This window comes from Homo sapiens, chromosome 8 (genome assembly GCF_000001405.40).
Source record: "Homo sapiens chromosome 8, GRCh38.p14 Primary Assembly".
Taxonomy (NCBI): Eukaryota; Metazoa; Chordata; class Mammalia; order Primates; family Hominidae; genus Homo; species Homo sapiens.
The window spans coordinates 125,319,566-125,337,373 of NC_000008.11; the positions used below are offsets into that span (position 1 = coordinate 125,319,566).

The 17,808-nt window shown below is 41.7% G+C and overlaps 1 protein-coding gene across 14 annotated transcripts in view, besides 3 other annotated features; it reads left to right on the forward strand.

Moving 5' to 3' along the window:
- Positions 1 to 17,808, forward strand: part of NSMCE2 (NSE2 SUMO ligase component of SMC5/6 complex) — a 275,261-nt gene that overhangs the window by 227,706 nt on the left and 29,747 nt on the right. The gene's annotated exons all lie outside the window — the stretch shown is intronic.
- Positions 14,350 to 15,167: an enhancer, noted in NCBI's record as "NANOG-H3K27ac-H3K4me1 hESC enhancer chr8:126346157-126346974 (GRCh37/hg19 assembly coordinates)". NCBI's record gives its function as "activates a minimal SCP1, AML or CMV promoter by ChIP-STARR-seq in primed H9 embryonic stem cells {active_cell/tissue: H9 hESC(primed)}" and the evidence as "EXISTENCE:reporter gene assay evidence [ECO:0000049][PMID:30033119]".
- Positions 14,819 to 14,868: an enhancer, noted in NCBI's record as "active region_27911". NCBI's record gives its function as "activates an Ori minimal core promoter by ATAC-STARR-seq in GM12878 lymphoblastoid cells {active_cell/tissue: GM12878}" and the evidence as "EXISTENCE:reporter gene assay evidence [ECO:0000049][PMID:35858748]".
- Positions 14,909 to 14,958: an enhancer, noted in NCBI's record as "active region_27912". NCBI's record gives its function as "activates an Ori minimal core promoter by ATAC-STARR-seq in GM12878 lymphoblastoid cells {active_cell/tissue: GM12878}" and the evidence as "EXISTENCE:reporter gene assay evidence [ECO:0000049][PMID:35858748]".

The following is a 17,808-nucleotide window of genomic DNA, read 5'->3' on the forward strand; positions in this document are numbered from 1 at the left end:
AAAGACCCAATAAGATGAAACCTACAATGGCTGAAATTTTTGAAAAGATAAAACACACAAACTGGATGGGATTAATGGCAGCTTAGACACTGCAGAAGAGAAGACTAGTGAACTGGACAACACAGCAGTGAAAACTACCCAAAATGAAATAAAAAAAAGAATCTTAAAAAAATGAACAGGGCACCAGTGAATTGTGGGACAGTCTCAGGGAGTCAAATATATGTTTTAGTGAAGTCTGGACAGTCTCAAGGAGTCACATATATGTTTTAGTGAAGTCTCCAAAAGAAGAAAGCTATGAGGAGACAAAAAGATTTAAGAAAATTGTGGCTGGCCAGGCGTGGTGGCTCACGCCTGTAATCTAGCACTTTGGGAGGCCAAGGCTGGCAGATCACCTGAGGTCAGGAGTTCCAGACCAGCCTGACCAACATGGTGAAACGCCATCTCTACTAAAAATATAAAAATTAGCTGGACGTGGTGGCATGCACTTATAGTCCCACCTGCTCAGGAGGCTGCGGCAGGAAAATCGCTTGAACCCAGGAGGTGGAGGTTTCAATGAGCCGAGATCACACCACCACACTCCGGTCTGGGCAACAGAGGGAGACTCCATCTCAAAAAAAAAAGAGAGAGAGAGAGAAAGAAAGAGAAGGAAGGAAGGAGGGAGGGAGGGAAGGGAGGGAGGGAGGGAGGGAAGGAAGGAAGGAAGGAAGGAAGGAAGGAAGGAAGGAAGGAAGGAAGGAAGGAAGGGAAGGGAAGGAAGGGAAGGAAGGCAGGCTGAAAATTTTCCAAATTTCATGAAAACTGTGAACCCACAGTTTTCAGATTTCACAAACCCTCAAAGAAAGATACATGGGGAAAAAACTACACCAAGGGATCTTACGATCAAATTGTTTAAAATGAGTGATAAAGGGAAAACAGCAACCAAAGGGGGAAAAGAAACATTATGTATAAAATAACAAATATAAAGTTGACAGCAGATTTCTCAAAAAAATGTATAAAGTAAGGTAGAAGACAGTGGAATGAAATTTTTAAGTTACTGAAAGGAAGAAAAAACTTTCAGACTAGAATTCCATACCCAGCAAAATATATTTTTTAAAAAAAGGTGAGACATAAAGATTTTTTCAGACATACAAACAATAAAAGAATTCATCACCAACAAACCTGCATTACAAGAAATGTTAAAGGGAAACCCTTCAAGAAGAAAGAAAATGATGCAGTATTAGTTCTCATACTGCTGTAAAAAAAATACCTGAGACTGGATAATTTCTAAAGCAGAGAGGTTTAATTGGGCTCACAGTTCAGTGGGCTGTACAGGAAACATGATGGTGGCAACTGCTCAGCTTCTGCGGAGGCCTCAGGAAACTGTAAATCATGGCAGAAGGCAAAGTGGGAGCAGACATATGGCCAGAGCAGGAGGAAGAGAGAGGGGCTACGCACTTTTCAACCACCGGATCTCACAAGAACTCTATCATGAGAACAGCACCAGGGGGACGGTGCTAAACTGTTAGAAACTGCCCCCATGATCCAGTCACCTCCCACCAGGCCCCACCTCCAGTATTGGTGATTACATTTCAATATGAGATTTGGGCAAGGACATAGATCCAAACCATATCAGATACCAAGTGGAAACCTGGATCTACACAAAGAACTAAATGATAAAGATCATCATAAATGGTAACTACATGAATACACACAGGATTTTTTTTCTTAATATTCTAACCTCTGTAATCATTGAGTTTTTCAAGCAAAAATAATACCAATGTTTGTATCATATGTAAAAGTAAAATGTGTAACAACAGCACTAAGGCTAGCAGGGAGAAATGGAATTATACTGTTTTAAGGCTCTTACACTATAGAGCCCAGGCAACTGGCTTCGTGGTGAATTCTACCAAGTATTTAAGGAAAAAGTAATACCAAGTCTACAGAAACTCTGACAGAAAACTGAAGAATAGAAAATATTACCCCAAACATTCTACAAGGCTAGCATTACCCTGATGCCAAAACCAGGCAAAGTTATTATAAGAAAAAGAAAATTACAAATTAATATCCCTCATAAACATAGATGCAAAAATTCTAAATAACTTTTTAGCAAATGGAATCCAAATATGTACAAAAAAGATAATACATTATGACCAACGGGGGGTTATTCCAGGAATGCAAGATTGGTTTGACATTTGAAAACTAATCTGTATAATTCACCATATTAACAGAGCAAAAAAAGAAAAATCAGGCCAGGCACAGTGGCTCTTGCCTGTAATCCCAGACATGATAGTCAGTTTTTGTTGTTGTTGTTTTTGTTATGTTTCTTTAAACTTTAGCCATCCTAATAGGTGTGTAGTGGTATCTCATTATGATTTTAATCTGCATTTCCCTAATGACTCAGGAGGTTGAGCATCTTTATGTATGCTTATTTGTCACTTACATATTTTCTTTTAAGTGTTCGTTCACATCAATATTTTTTTGTTTATTTCAATATCTTTTAAGATCTTTTTTCCATTTTTTGGATTTTGAGTTTTAAGAGATCTTTTTATATTCTGGATATGACCTCAAACTGACCACTTTGGGAAGCTAAAGTGGGAGAGTCGCTTGAGCCCAGGAGTTTGAGACCAACCTGGGCAACATAGCAAGACCGTGTCTCTACAAAGAAATTTTAAAATTAGCCAGGTGTGGTGGTGGGTACCTCTAGGTCTAGCTACTCGGGAGGCTGAGGCAGGAGGATCACTTGAGCCCAGGAATTGGAGGTGACAGTGAGTTATCATTGTGCCACTGCACTGCAGTCTGAGAGTGAGTGAAGCAGAAAGAAGGAAAATCATATGATCATCTCAATAGATGCAGAAAAAGCATTTGACAAAATCCAATACTGATTCTTGATTTTAAAAATGCTCAGCAAACAGAATAGAAGGGAACTTCTTAAATCTACTAATGAGCATCTATGAAAAGCCTACATATAACATCATACTTCATGGTGAAAAACTGAAAGCATATCCCCTAAGGAAACTAGCAAGGATGTCTACTCTTACCACTTCTGTTTAGCATTGTACTGGGGTTCAAACAAGTACAATAAGGTAAGAAAAAGCAATAAAGGCATCCATTGGAAAAGGAGTAGTAAAATTTGCAGATAACATGATCATCTGTGCTGAAAATCCAATGAAATCTACAAAAAAGCTGCTAGAACTAATACGTGAGTTTAGCAAATTTGAAGAATATAAGACTAATTAAAAATAATTATATTCCTATATACTAGCAACAATCAGAATTTAAAAATTTTAAATGCCATTTATGATATCATCAAAAATATGAAATACTGCCAACATGGCAAAACCCCATCTCTACTAAAAATACAAGGAGTAGCTGGGTGTGGTGACGCATGCCTGTGATCCCACCTACTTGGGAGGCTGAGGTGGGAGAATCGCTTGAACCCAGGTTTCGGAGGTTGCAGTGAGCCAAGATCATGCTGCTACACTCCAGCCTGGGCAATAGAGTGAGACTCTGTCTCAGAAAAATATATGTATATATGAAATACCTATCGATGTATCTGACTAAAGGTGTGCAAGAACTGTCTACTGAATGCAAACTGTGAGAAATCAGAGACCTAAATTAATGGAAAGATATACCATGTTAATGAATTCGAAAACTCAATATACTTAAGATGCCAATTCTCACCGAATTGATCTGTTGATTCAAAGAAACCACAATCAGAATCCCAGCAGGGGTTTTTTTGTAGATATTGACGAGATTATTCTGAAATTCCTATAGAAACACAGAGGACATACAGCATCCAAAATAACTTTGGAAAAAAAAGGACAAAGTTAGAGAACTTATTCTACCTGACTTCAAGACTTAATGAAGCTATAGTAACAAGGGTAGTGTAGTAAGATGGACAACAGTTAAATAAATCAGTGGAATGGAATAGAGTCCAGAAATAGATCCATGCATAGGCAGCCAATTAATTTTCTACTCACATGCAAAGACAGTTCCATGGTTTTCCACAAACATGCAAAGATAATGCAGTGAGAAAAGGACAGCCTTTGCAACAAATGGTTCTGTAACAATCCAATATTCATATATTCAGAATATAAACTTTGAACCATATCTCACACCATATGTAAAAATTAACTCAAAGTGGATCATATATCTGAATATAAAACCTAAAACTATAGAAGCCCTAGAAGAAAACATAGGAGAAACTGTGACCTTGGTTTAGGCAAAGAGCAATCCACATTTTTAAAAATTATAATTTAGACTTCATCAAAATTAGGAACTTCTGTTCTTCAAGAGATACTCTTAGGAGAATGAAAGGCCAAGTGACAGTCTGGGAAATGTTATTTTCAAATCACAAATCTGATAAAGGGCCTGAATCCAGAATAGTAAAAGATCTCTCAAAACTCAATAAGAAGAAAGCACTCCCAAAAATGGAAAAAAGATTTTGAAAAGATACTGAAATGAACAACAACAAAAAAACTAACATGAACAGACACTTAAAATATATAGATGACAAGCACATGTAAAGATGCTCAGCCTCTTTTAGTCATTAGGGAAATACAGATTAACACTATAATGAAATACCACTACACACCTATTAGGATAGTTAAAGTTTTTAAAAACACGACAAAAACTGATCATACCATGTGTTGGCAAGTCTAGGCAGAATCTGAGTCTCTTCACACTGCTGGTGGAAATGTAAACTGATACAACCACTTTAAAAGTTAAACATATATGACCTAGGCATCCCACTTCGAGATATTTATTCAAGACCATTGGAAGCATGTGCCCGCAGAAAGACTTCTACTACACAAATGTTCATAGCAGCTTTATTTCTATTAGTTCAAACTGGAAACAAGCCCAATATCCCGTAACTGATAAATGAATAGACATTGTATGTCATATCCACAGAATACTACTCAGCAAAAAAAAAAAAAATGAGGACTATTGATACATGCAGCAAGGTGCCAGACCAAAAAAAAAAAAAAAAAAGAGCATATCCTATGTGATTCCATTTTGATAAAATTCTTTTTTTTTTTTTTTTTTTTTGAGACGAGTCTGGCTCTGTTGCCCAGGCTGGAGTGCAGTGGCGCAATCTCGGCTCACTGCAAGCTCCGCCTCCCGGGTTCACGCCATTCTCCTGCCTCAGCCTCCCGAGTAGCTGGGACTACAGGCGCCCGCCACTACGCCCGGCTAATTTTTTGTATTTTTAGTAGAGACAGGGTTTCACCATGTTAGACAGGATGGTCTCGATCTCCTGACCTCGTGATCCGCCCGCCTCGGCCTCCCAAAGTGCTGGGATTACAGGCATGAGCCACCGCGCCCGGCCCATTTTGATAAAATTCTTTATGATGCAAATTGATGTAAGGCATCAGAAAACAGATCAGTTGTGTTGGAGTGGGGAGTAGAAGCCTGAAAGTGCAGAGGATAGGGATTACTAAGGGCACAAGGCAACTTTGTGAACAATCAACAAATATTCACTCTCTTGATTGTGGTAATGATTGAACAGATGTGTACATTATCAAATTATATACTTTATATGCATAGTTAATTATATATTAATTATGCCTCATTAAAGATGGGGACAGGAAGCTACTTACTTAAATGCTTATTATAGTCTCAGTTACTCAGGAGGCTGAGGCAGGAGGATCACTTGAGTCCGGGAGTTCAAGGCTGCAGTACACTATGATAGTGCCTGTGAATAGCCACTGCACTCCAGCTTGGGTAACATAGCCAAACCCCGTTTCTATTAAAATAAAATAAAATAAAATAAAATAAAGTAAAATAAAATAAAATGTGTATTGTCAGGGGATTAATTAGATGAATTCTGGGGTCTCACTCTGTCACCCAGGTTGGAGTGCAGTGGCACGATCTCGGCTCATTGCAACCTCTACCTCCTGGCTCAAGTCATCCTCTCACTTCAGCCTCCTAAGAAGCTGGAACCACAAGCACATACCACCACACCTGGCTAATTTTTTTTTATTTTTGGTAGAGACAGCATTTTGCCATGTAGGCTGGTCTTGAACTCCTGAGCTCAAGCAATCTGCCCGCCTCAGACTACCAAAATGCTAGGATTACAGGTGTGAGCCACTGTGCCTGGCTTAAGCAGCTATTTTTAAAAATGAAGTTGGGTGCAGTGGCTCACACCTGTAATCCCAACACTTTGGAAGACCGAGGCAGGAGGATCACCTGCGGTCAGGAGTTCAAGACCAGCCTGGCCAACATGGTGAAACCCCCACTCTACTAAAAATATAAAAGTTAACTGGGCATGGTGGCGGGCACCTGTCATCCCAGCTACTTGGTAGTCTGAAGCAAGAGAATCACTTGAACCTGGGAGGCGGAGGTTGCAGTGAGCCAAGATTGCGGCACTGTACTCCAGCCTGGGCAACAAGAGTGAAACTCCGTCTCAAAATAAATAAATAAATAAAAATACCCGGGCGCGGTGGCTCATGCCTGTAATCCCAGCACTTTGGGAGGTCAAGGCAGGTGGATCACGAGGTCAGGAGATCGAGACCATCCTGGATAACATGGTGAAACCCCATCTCTACTAAAAATACAAAAAATTAGCTGGGTGCGGTGGCAGGCGCCTGTAGTCCCAGCTACTCGGGAGGCTGAAGCAGGAGAATGGCGTGAACCCGAGAGGCAGAGCTTGCAGTGAGCCGAGATTGCGCCACTGCACTCCAGCCTGGGCAAAAGAGTGAGACTCCATCTCAAAAAAAATTAAAATAAATAATAAAAATAAAAATCAAGTCATCCTGTATGTGTCAATAGGAAATGATCCCCCAAATAAATTATTAGATGTAAAAATGCAAGGTATTTGCATATCTCTTTGAGTAAAAATAGGCATTATATATATGTGTGTGTGTGTATTTGTAGATATGTATGTGTGTGTCTATTTACATATATGTATATATAGTTTGTGTATATACACTGTGTGTATGTGAGGGATTTCTTGAGCATATACAAAAGCTTACAGTGGTTGTTTCTGAGAATTGGCATTGTGGGATTGTGGAAAAGAGAGAGAGGACTTCTGATTTTATTCACTTTTGTTGAATTTTTTGAAAACCATATATGTGCATATTCTTTTATAAGTTTAAAAAAAAGATTGGTTAAAAAGATAAAAAAGGCGGGCCAGGCGCAATGGCTCACGCCTGTAATCCCAGCACTTTGGGAGGCCGAGGCAGGTGGATCACCTGAGGTCAGGAGTTTGAGACAGGCCTGGCCAATGTGGCAAAACACCATCTCTACTAAAAACACAAAAATTAGCCGGTCGTGGTGGCGGGCACTTGTAATCCCAACTACTCAGGAGACTGAGTCAGGAGAATCACTTGAACCCAGGAGGCAGAGGTTGCAGTGAGCTGAGATCTCGCCACTGCACTCCAGCCTGGGTGACATGAGCAAAACTCCATTTCAAAAAAAAAAAGAGAGAGAGAGAGGGCCAGGCGAGGTGGCTCACACCTGTAATCCCAGCACTTTGGGAGGCCGAGGCAGGTGGATCACCTGAGGTCAGGAGTTCCACACCAGCCTGTCCAACATGGTAAAACCCCATCTCTACTAAAACTATAAAAAAAAATTAGCCGGCGTGGTGGCGAGCACTTGTAATCCCAGCTATCCAGGAGGCTGAGGCAGGAGAATCGCTTGAACCTGGGAGGCAGAGGTTGCAGTGAGCCAAGATCACACCACTGCACCCCAGCCTGGGCGATAAAGCAAGACTCCATCTCAAAAAAAAAAAAAAAAAAAAAGAGAGAGAAACCAAAATTGGGAACTATAATTGAAATATAATTACTGAATGAATGTAGTATAATTACCAATTGAAAACTATATGACTGAAACATAATCCAGTTTGTTTATTCATCTGAGTAGCTGCTGTCTTTTTAGGAGGCTTTAAAGATAATTCTGGGTTAGAAAATTGATGTTGTGGGTTTGTCCCAAATAACTAAAATATTTTACACCTTATTTCTTGATCAGATTAAAGTAAGAGAGTGTTTTTTTTTAAGTCTTTAATTTGAGCTAAAACATCTACCATTTTGTAGTATGTGAGAGCTATAGACAAGAGAGAGGGTAGGTACAGAACTAAGGAGGCTAGAAGTCTTTGTCCATACAGGTGTTGGGCACAGAATATAAGGAAATAAAAGGTGTTAAAAGTAAGATTTCTTTAGAATATTACAGGACTTGAAGGTTTGACCTGAAGTACTCCATTTCTCCAATATAGTATAAGTAACCACAAAATATATGTATACAATTGTTTTAGGATTTAAAGGCATGACTGTATTAGGTAACTAATTACCATAGGGATTATCATGAATGGGTTTACAGAGATTCTTGACATCTCTAAATGGGTCTGAATAGATTAATATCAAGGTAATCTGGGAACTCCCTTTGAACCTTTTGAGGTTAGTATATATTAAAGAGCTCCTCCTCAATAAAAGATTGCCATATTCAAGAACTATCATAATTATGGGTGAGGTTTTCTAGCACAAGGAAAATCATTTTTTAAAACTGTTTGCTTTAGTGAGACTAACATTTGAGGAAATAGTACTGGCCATTTTTCCAGGTTGTATAGTCACTTTTAAGAGGCAGGCATCATCCAAAGACTTCTCACTGGCCTTTTTTTTTTTTTTTTAACAGATTCTTAAGTTATGACATTGAAATTGACAGTCAGAATCATGTCCACAAGAAACAATATTCTAAACTTGATGTATGAATCTTCATGATGCCTCTGTCTTTAGAAAATTTTTGAATTGTTTATGAGGTCATGGGATGGAGCTAAGTATAATAACTGTAGTCTCCATTTAAGAATCAATTTTCATGCCTGTCTCATCAGAGTCTAGTGAAAGAATAAAAGAAAGGTGTATAAAAGCACATGGAGAGCTATGAACGTGCAAATTGCTGAGCACCTCGAGGGCCTGGATTGGGTTGTGTGCCAGGCACAAGGAGTATCTTAACACACGTTTTCACTGGAGTAGATCTGGACACCAAGGCCTGCTGGTTTCAGAATTCGCTGCCAAGCCAGAGGATGAGTAGTTCTCTCATGAGAGCCCAACTCAGGGATTTTCAAAAATGTGGTCTTGAGGATTCTCCACATGATTCACAGGCTGGTGCACAAATTCTCAATGTGTAGTGTTTTATTTCTGGCATGAATCAGTGATTTGCTATCTATCATCGGTGTTTCATCAGAAACAGTAGCAACCTTTTCATTCATCCCTGTCATCTGGGTCTCCACTTTCTGTTTTTTTTTCTGTTTTATTTTTAGTGGCAGGGGAGTTATAATCTTAAAATGTCACAGCTAGAAATAATATCCAAGGTCATTAGTCCCAACCCTCTCAGAGATGAGGAAACATCTAGTCACTGTTTCAGTGAGACCCGAAGTCAGAACTCCTGGCCCCCAGTTCAGCACCTTCTTGGCTGCCTGCATGAGGCCTGTCCCATCAGACAGTCTGCAGACCAAGGAAATGTGAGCGGCAGTGTCCAGACTCATCCAAGACTGAGTTGTGACCAAGACAGCTACTGTATTAGTTAAGATGTGGAGAAAACCACCCTTGAATCATGTTGCAGCAACATCAAGGTAGGACCTCATGCTTGGTAAAATCCCTACCTGGGAAACCAAGATCTGAATGACAGCAAGACCAGCCTGACCTCAGTCCCCAGCAGCGGGCAATCCTTCCTTACCAGGTTATCTCAGTGAGACTTTAATTAGGATGTTCTTGGATGTGTTTAAAACCTGGCACAGCCTTGCAGTTTCAGCCCAGGTCCTTTCAATCTGGGGACAGCAGGAGCTCCCACTACAGGAGCTTTTTGGCTGTGAGCAGGGCTCCTATCAGCTTGGCTCTTCAGAGCTGTCACAAAACCTGGAGACCGCCATTGTTTTTTGATATCCTGTTTCCTTTCTTTTTAGTTACCAAGAAGATTTCCTTTTGAACAAGCATCATGTTTTGTTTACATTGAGGGTTAGGTGTTTATGTTGATGTTTTAGTTGGAATCCACGTCTGCCTTTAGTTATAGACAACCTCATTGCCAGCAGATCTTAGTCCTCAGCAACACACCTGTCTAGCTTGTTCCGATATACTGGGACAAACCTTGGGAGTCTGGGGGCCCTTTTTAATCTTGTGGCTCCATCACAGTAGAGAGAGTGATAAGTATGGCCTCTGGGATCAGACTTATTAGCTGCCTGGCAAATATCAGGCCAGTTTACCTCTCTGGACCTCGGTTTCCTCATCTGTAAAATGGGGATAATATTTGCAACCTGCCTCATAGAGTTGTTGTGAGACACATTGTGAATTAATTCACACAGTGTTCACTCAGTTCAAGGCCTGGTAGATAGTTAGCACTCAGTAAACTGACAGGTGGCCATGGAGGTGGTGGTGGTGATACCATGTAGTAAGACTGGTTGTTATTTTTTTTGTTACTATCACTTCTCTCCAGCCCCCTCCGAAAGAACCATCATTACCTAGAATCATTGACCCTGAGGTTGGGAGTTAAAGCCAAAGGTGGGTAAGCTACAGGAGGAAGGGGTATGACCTAGGAATGGGAGGGAACAGGTAGCTTTACAGATTCGGGGCACGTCGCTTTCAGAAGGATGGAAACAAGTCTGCCTTCTTGTTAGGGAAAAACAGAACTAACTTTTTCTTTTTTCTTTCTTTTTTTTTTTTTTTGAGACAGTCTCTCTCTGTCACCCAGGCTGGAGTGCGATGGGACGATCTAGGTTCACTGCAGCCTCCATCTCCCGGTTCGAGCGATTCTCCTGCCTCAGCCTCCCAAGTAGCTGGAATTACAAGCGTGTGCCACCACACCCGGCTAATTTTTGTATTTTTAGTAGAGACAGGGTTTCACCACGTTGGCCAGGCTGGTCTCGAACTCCTGACCTCAAGTGATCCACCCACCTCGGCCTCCCAAAGTGCTGCGATTACAGGTGTCAGTCACCATGCCCAGCCCCCAGAACTAGTTTTTGGACACACCATGAAGAAGTGTGGAAATCTCCTGCCCTCTTGCCAATCCCCAACCTCAGGGAGGAAGGCTACCCTTAGAGAAACACAGATCTGCTCTGAGGAATGCATGGGCCAAAAATAAGCTCGCACCTGGGCAACTCCAGATTTCATTCCATGCCTAATTACGTTTATTTCTTAAGCCTCGAATGTACGCTAGGTACTAAAGGAAACAGAATTTAGAGCTAGCTCTTCCCAATAAGAAGCAGGAGGAGTGGGAAACGCCAGAGGCTTTGGAGGAGTGATGATCACCCAACATTGCCTCCCACAAGCACGTGGCCTGGAGCACTTACCTCCCTCTAGGCCCCAGCTGTCAAGTGTGGGGTTTGGACTAGGTGACCACAGCTCCTTTCAGTTTTAATGTAATGCAGAGTCCACTGAAAGAGAAACTCAAACTTTGTTCCCTTTACTCATTAGATTTTTGTGTTACCACCTCTTTCACACACATGATGTGAAAAAGGTGGTATTGTGTCATATATTAAGAAAGAAAGGTGACTGGGCGCGGTGGCTCACACCTGTAATCCCAGCACTTTGGGAGGCTGAGGCAGGCGGATCACGAGGTCAAGAGATCGAGACCATCCTGGCCAACATGGTGAAACCCCGTCTCTACTAAAAATACAAAAATTAGCCGGACTTGGTGGCAGGCGCCTGTAGTCCCAGCTACTCGGGAGGCTGAGGCAGGAGAATGGCGTGAACCCGGGAGGCGGAGCTTGCAGTGAGCCAAGATAGCGCCACTGCACTCCAGCCTGGGTGACAGAGCGAGACTCCGTCTCAAAAAATAAAAAATAATAATAGTAATAATTTTAAAAAAAGGTTTCTCATAATTTTGAACAAGTCATTAGATGTCTGTGACTGTTTCCTCACCTGTAAAATTGTTATCAGTACTCAGGGCCCTCCCTCATAGGGTGCTTGTGAACATTAGATAATAAAAAGATTGTAAAGCACTGTGTAAATGTCAAGTGCTGGGTAATGGGGAAGAGTAACTGCAGGCAGGGTAGGAAAACTTAGCATGGGAAAGATGAAAACTATAGATTTTCTCCTCCCTGAAGTTTAAAAACGATCTTTTTTTTTTTAACAAAATAACCAGATTCTTTTTATACACTTTTCTCTTAATCCTTCAGAATAGCACAGTTTGGGGACTGCCTTCAAAATCAGACCACATTGTTAGAAGTTATTTCACTGCTTCAGAACCCAAATCCCCTGCAAGGAATGTAAGAGCAACTTACTTTCTTTCAAATTTCAGTCAACGGTAAAGTTTCAGCGTATAGCATGGTCCACTTCTTGCAATCACAAATTTACTTTGCAGGGGTAAAATTTCGGAAGGAGCAGTGGAAGAAGTCTGGTCTGGGTACTTCTTGTAAACTTCAGTCAGATATGGCCTGTGCAAGGGCAAACAGTAGTTCCATATTTCATTTATTTGGCACTTTCTCTAAGGAGATCAAAGCTGCTTTGTGGACTTAATCTATTTAATTCTCACAACATCCCTGCCATGTAAGTAGCTGCTATCACCCTCCTTCTGCTGATATGAAGCCCACAGCCAGATATGAAAACTGGCTTTTCAAGGGCACAAGCAAATCGACATCAAGAACAGGAGTTGTACTCTAAATTTTATTTATTATCCTCTTCCCATTTGAATAAATTCTCCTAAATAAAGCAAATTTGAGAATTATTTTGCCAGTCACCGATGCTAAGTCAAAATTTGAGAATTCTATAAAGGGCATATTTTTGTCTCTAATTCATAGATTCTTAGAAAATTGGCAGATTTGCTGAGTCTTCCTCTTCACTGTTAGATATTCTAGAAATTTTGACCTTAGATACATGAGGTAGTAAGACCATGCTAATAGTATTGTATGGTTTATGGAGTGAAATATACCTGGGCTTGGCTAGCTCTGTGAACTTCAGTTTTCATTCAAATGTGAATAATATAGTACTCGCATCAGAGTTGTATCAATTAAATGGTGCAATGCCTATAAAATAGTTAGCGTAGAAGCTGGTGCATAGTAAGCTTTCAGTAAATAATAGTCCTCATATTACAAAACAAACAGGTTCTTAGGTTAGTTCTTTCCTTGTTAAGATTTTCATTGAATATTTAAGCTCTAGTCAAGCTAATCCAGATATATTACAAGTTTTCTTTTAAACAGAATGCTTTGTACACTGCTATAGCAAGCTTGTTCCATTTTTCTTTCCCCTATCCCCTTCAGGGTTCCATTTTGGTTACAAGAAGCTTGCTCAGGGAGAGGTTCCTGCACTTTAGCTTAGATTTCTGTCAAAACAAGATTACCTCTTTAGTTGACCCTGTGAGAAGCCGTTTAGTCTTATGAACCAACCTTTGATTTCAAAATTCTTTGAGTTGTCCTGAATGTGGTAAGCTACCCTGCAATGTGCTTGGAAATCATCCAGTTTGGGACCTCAAGAGAGAGGGATAAGATGATCTAATCAGTTTTGGAACTTGGAAGAGACAGAGTTGTCTGAGTGGAACACTGAGCTGTGAACCCAGTATCATAGACATTGATTGTTGCCAGTGAGCTTCGTTCCAAAATGGGGGACCCATACAGAAAATAAAGGTGTCTTGGTCCCCACTCCAGACCTGCCGAATCAGAATCTCCAACAGTAGACCTAAGAATCTAGATTTCTTTTTTTTTTTCTTTTTATCTTTTTTTAGAAACAGAGTCTCGCTCTGTCGCCAAGGCTGAAATACAGTGGCACGATCACGGCTCACTGCAGCTTTGACCTCCTGGGCCCAAGTAATCCTCCCCATTCAGCCTCCCAAGTAGCTGGGACTGCAGGCACATGCCACCATGCCTGGGTAATTTTTTATTTTTTATTTTAGAGACAGGGTGTCACTAAGTTGCCCAGGTTGGTCTCGAACTCCTGGCCTCAAGTGATCCTCCTGCCTCAGCCTCCAGAGTCACTGAGATTACAGGTGCAAGCCACCACGCCTTGCTAGATTTCTTTCTAATGTAGTTTTCCTGGTGGTTCTTTTTTTTTTTTTTTTTTTTTTTTTTTGAGACGGAGTCTCGCTCTGTCGCCCAGGCTGGAGTGCAGTGGCGCGATCTCGGCTCACTGCAAGCTCCGCCTCCCGGGTTCACGCCATTCTCCTGCCTCAGCCTCCCAAGTAGCTAGGACTACAGGCGCCCGCCACTACGCCCGGCTATTTTTTGTAGTTTTAGTAGAGACGGGGTTTCACCATTTTAGCCGGGATGGTCTCGATCTCCTGACCTCGTGATCCGCCCGCCTCGGCCTCCCAAAGTGCTGGGATTACAGGCGTGAGCCACCGCGCCCGGCCTTCCTGGTGGTTCTGATACCACCAAGTTTGGAACCACTGCGAGGCCATTTCCCAGATGAAGAAAATAAGGCCCAAGGAGAGGAGTACCTCCACCAAGATCAGTGGCATGCTGAACTCATGAATGGCAGAGGCCTGCTCAGAGCTCAGGTCACCCTCACAGTCAGTGCAGGTTTTTTTCCACTACTCCTTCATGCTCCTGGGTCTGCCGTGGACTCAGGATAAACAGACAAAGTTGTCTGTGTCTGTACTTTCTCATCTGTACTGTAGAGATAATAACTCCTGACCTTAAAGGGCCATTGTGAGGTTAAATTAGTTAAAGGGTGTTCAGTTCACTTTGTCCTTTACTCAGAGTCTGTTCTTTAGACAACTGAAAGGGTGCTAAATTAAGCCATTTTGCAGAGAGGTCTGAGTCATCTAGTGGCAGCTGTCTGTGCCTCACTGGAGGTGCTTTGATCATTGTCATCTAAATGCATGCGTTAAGTACTATCTGTAGCACAGCGCTCCAGGCTGTGCTAAGTGAGTTACCCAGATAATGGTCTCTGCCCTTGAGAACAGCGCTGAGGCAAGGGACATAAAGGTTATTCACACAGCAACAGAACAGGGGATCCATGAACGTTGAATTCAGAGAGCCTAGAAGGAGCATGGGGACACCCATTCTGCGCCCCTGGCTTAGAGGACCGAAGTGCTGCAGCTCAGGTCACATGGCACGTTGAGAGCGGGATGTGTGACCCACCAAGGCTGAGTCCTTCCCACCTCCCCCTGCTGGAGGGGAATTGTTTTTCTCACGGGTTGGAATGTAGCAAGTGTCCATTATAGTCAATCTGGAAAGGCTTTAGTTTGGAGTTAGTTTCAAGGATGTCTTGAAATGAGGCGGTTAGAGCTCAGAGGATGACTTTGGGGATGGTGGGCAGACTATGTGTACGAAGGATTGGGCCAAAAAAGATTATGAAGTATCTTTTCTTTTTTTTTTTTTTTTTTTTTTTTTTTTGAGACACAGTCTCGCTCTGTCACCCAGGCTGGAGTGCAGTGACCTCCCAGGCTCAAGCAATCCTCCCACCTCAACCTCCTGATAGCTGGGACTACAGGATGTACACCACCACACCCGGCTAATCTTTTATTTTTTTGTAGAGGCGGAGTCTCACTATGTTGCCCACGCTCATCTCAAACTCCTGGCCTCAAGCAGTCCTCCCACCTCAGCCTCCCAAATTGCTGGGATTACAGGCGTGAGCCGCAGTACCTGACCAGATTGCGAAGTATCTTGAAGCAATCTGGAAAGAAGTCTTGAAGCAATTCTTGAGGGTGTTTTGTACCACAGAGTGAAGTCCCAACAGGACTCTGAGAAGGAAGCCACCCACTCAGAATTACTGCCAAGGGAGGGGCTGTAATGACACATGATGGAGTGAGGAGGTATGGGAAGCAGCTCTGGAGGGTTAAGGAAATCATTGCCACCATTTTTAAACAGCGATTATGTGCCAAGCCCCATGTTTAGCGTTTTACATAAAATGCCTTTATCCTCAGAACAGCCCTACCAGACAGGTATTTTCATCCAGACAGGTGTTTCCCCTGTGCGTATGACAAAACGCACTCAAGGTGATTAGGTAACTTGCTCAAAAACACAGAGGGACTGAGGCAGGCAGTATTTAAGCCCCTGCTGGATCCTTCCAAATATGTCTGCTACACCTTAAGCCCTCTCTAAGAATATTAGAGATAGTTATGGATAGCCAGCCAGGAGGTAACTAAAAATTTCCATTATTGTCTATAAACAAACAAAGGAGCAAAATGGGGGTGATACTCCATGCAGTGAGGGTGGGAAAACCACACAAGCTCTCTCAGTGTTCTGAATTATGCCCAAGAAAGGATGAGCAGAAATGACTAAGGTTCCTTATTTGACAGATCATTGACATGGTGACGTGACCCAGTGAGATAGAGGAGATGAAGAATTTCCAAAGAAAGATAAGCATATGTCATTTATAGTAAGAGTTACTGATGATTAGGGTGTTTAAGAACTAGGCATTGCTCAACCAAAGGGGAAAGTTCAAAGTGAATAGGTAGGTTGGTGTGTCATCTAAAGAGACGATATAGTGTCATCAAGTGAGATAGAGCCTCAGAAAACATCACTTTTGGATCTGTGTATATATGACATTGTACTAAGACACTGTAGCATGGAAGTGAATAGATAAGAATTAGGAAAATCACAAGCTAGGAGAGGACAGATGTTATCACACAGCACCTTGTAATAAAGGGAGAAGAGTAGGGAAAGTTAAGCCTGACAGGACCCCACTCCTGGTAGAAAGGAACCATTGATATGGCTTTGAAGATAGGAAGGACAGAGCATTGAGGCAGAATGTAAAAGCAAACACCTCTAGTATCATGGAATCCAGGGAAGAAGGAAAGGAAAGGAAGAGAAGACCTGTGAGCATTTTATTATGTGCTGGGCATATTAAATAATCAATTACTCAATTAAATTCAATTCAATACTCAGTTAAATACTCAGTCCTTACAGTAGTCCTGCCAGTTAAGTCTTCTCCCATTTTACAGATGGGGAAACTAAGGCTCTGAGAGGTGGTCATTTTCCCGAGATCAAATAGCTAGGGGAGGCAGGATTGTCCCAGGTCTGACTCTGAATCCCTTGCTTCTGCCACACTGCTTCAGCCAGAAGTTGGAGAAGGGGAAGGAGGATTGGTTATATGCAGAGTCAGAAGCTATGAGAGGATGATGAGGATCAGAGTGGATTTGGAGAAGTGATGAGGATATGGGTGGCTTTGTTGGGTGATACTGCTGCAGAGTAGAAATGGGAGAAGTTGGCTACAAGGAAATTCACATGGTTGGGTTCACAGTTTCATCTGCCATGTGTGGCATTTTACTACCTGGTATATGGAAGATTAAATATTAGCTGCATTTAATTCTCTCTTTGGAGAACTGCGAGTTCCTTTTTGAACAAATTCTTTGCAAGCACTTCTAGTCTACATAGTTGGGCTTCCAGGTTGATGCATCTTCAGATTATAGTTCCAAGAAAAATACTGACTCCAGTGGGTGGTTTTTCACATTTTTAAACTGATCAGTCCTATTGGCAACATAGGCATTCATCCATTCACTCCCATCTGGGAACTATGGGAATCTTCTCCTCCAGCTAACACTGTGATTTGGTCATCTGTGTTTAGTAATATCCCAACATCTGATCCTCTTGCCTTTTTCAGTGACATAGGCTTCTTATTGTTTGTGAAATTATGGGTTTGCATGAATTGCAACTAATGGTAGAGGTCTTTGAAAAAATAATTATAATTTGAGAAAATGGGGTTAGCCTATATTAGGTTTCTGTAGTCTTGAGGTACGGAAAGAATGGGCAAACATTTGCCCTTTAAAGTAGGTAAGAGTCCATAGCACAGTAAGAAGTCTGTTTCCTCTCACTGGGAAAACATATTCCAGCCACTGATTTAACTTCTCTTATTGTTGCTGACTTGCAACCCTACACCCCCTCTAAGTCTATGACAGGTCTGAACATAATTCTTCTTTGTAGTCCATTGACTCTTATAAAATAATGCTGTGATTATAAGGTTTCCT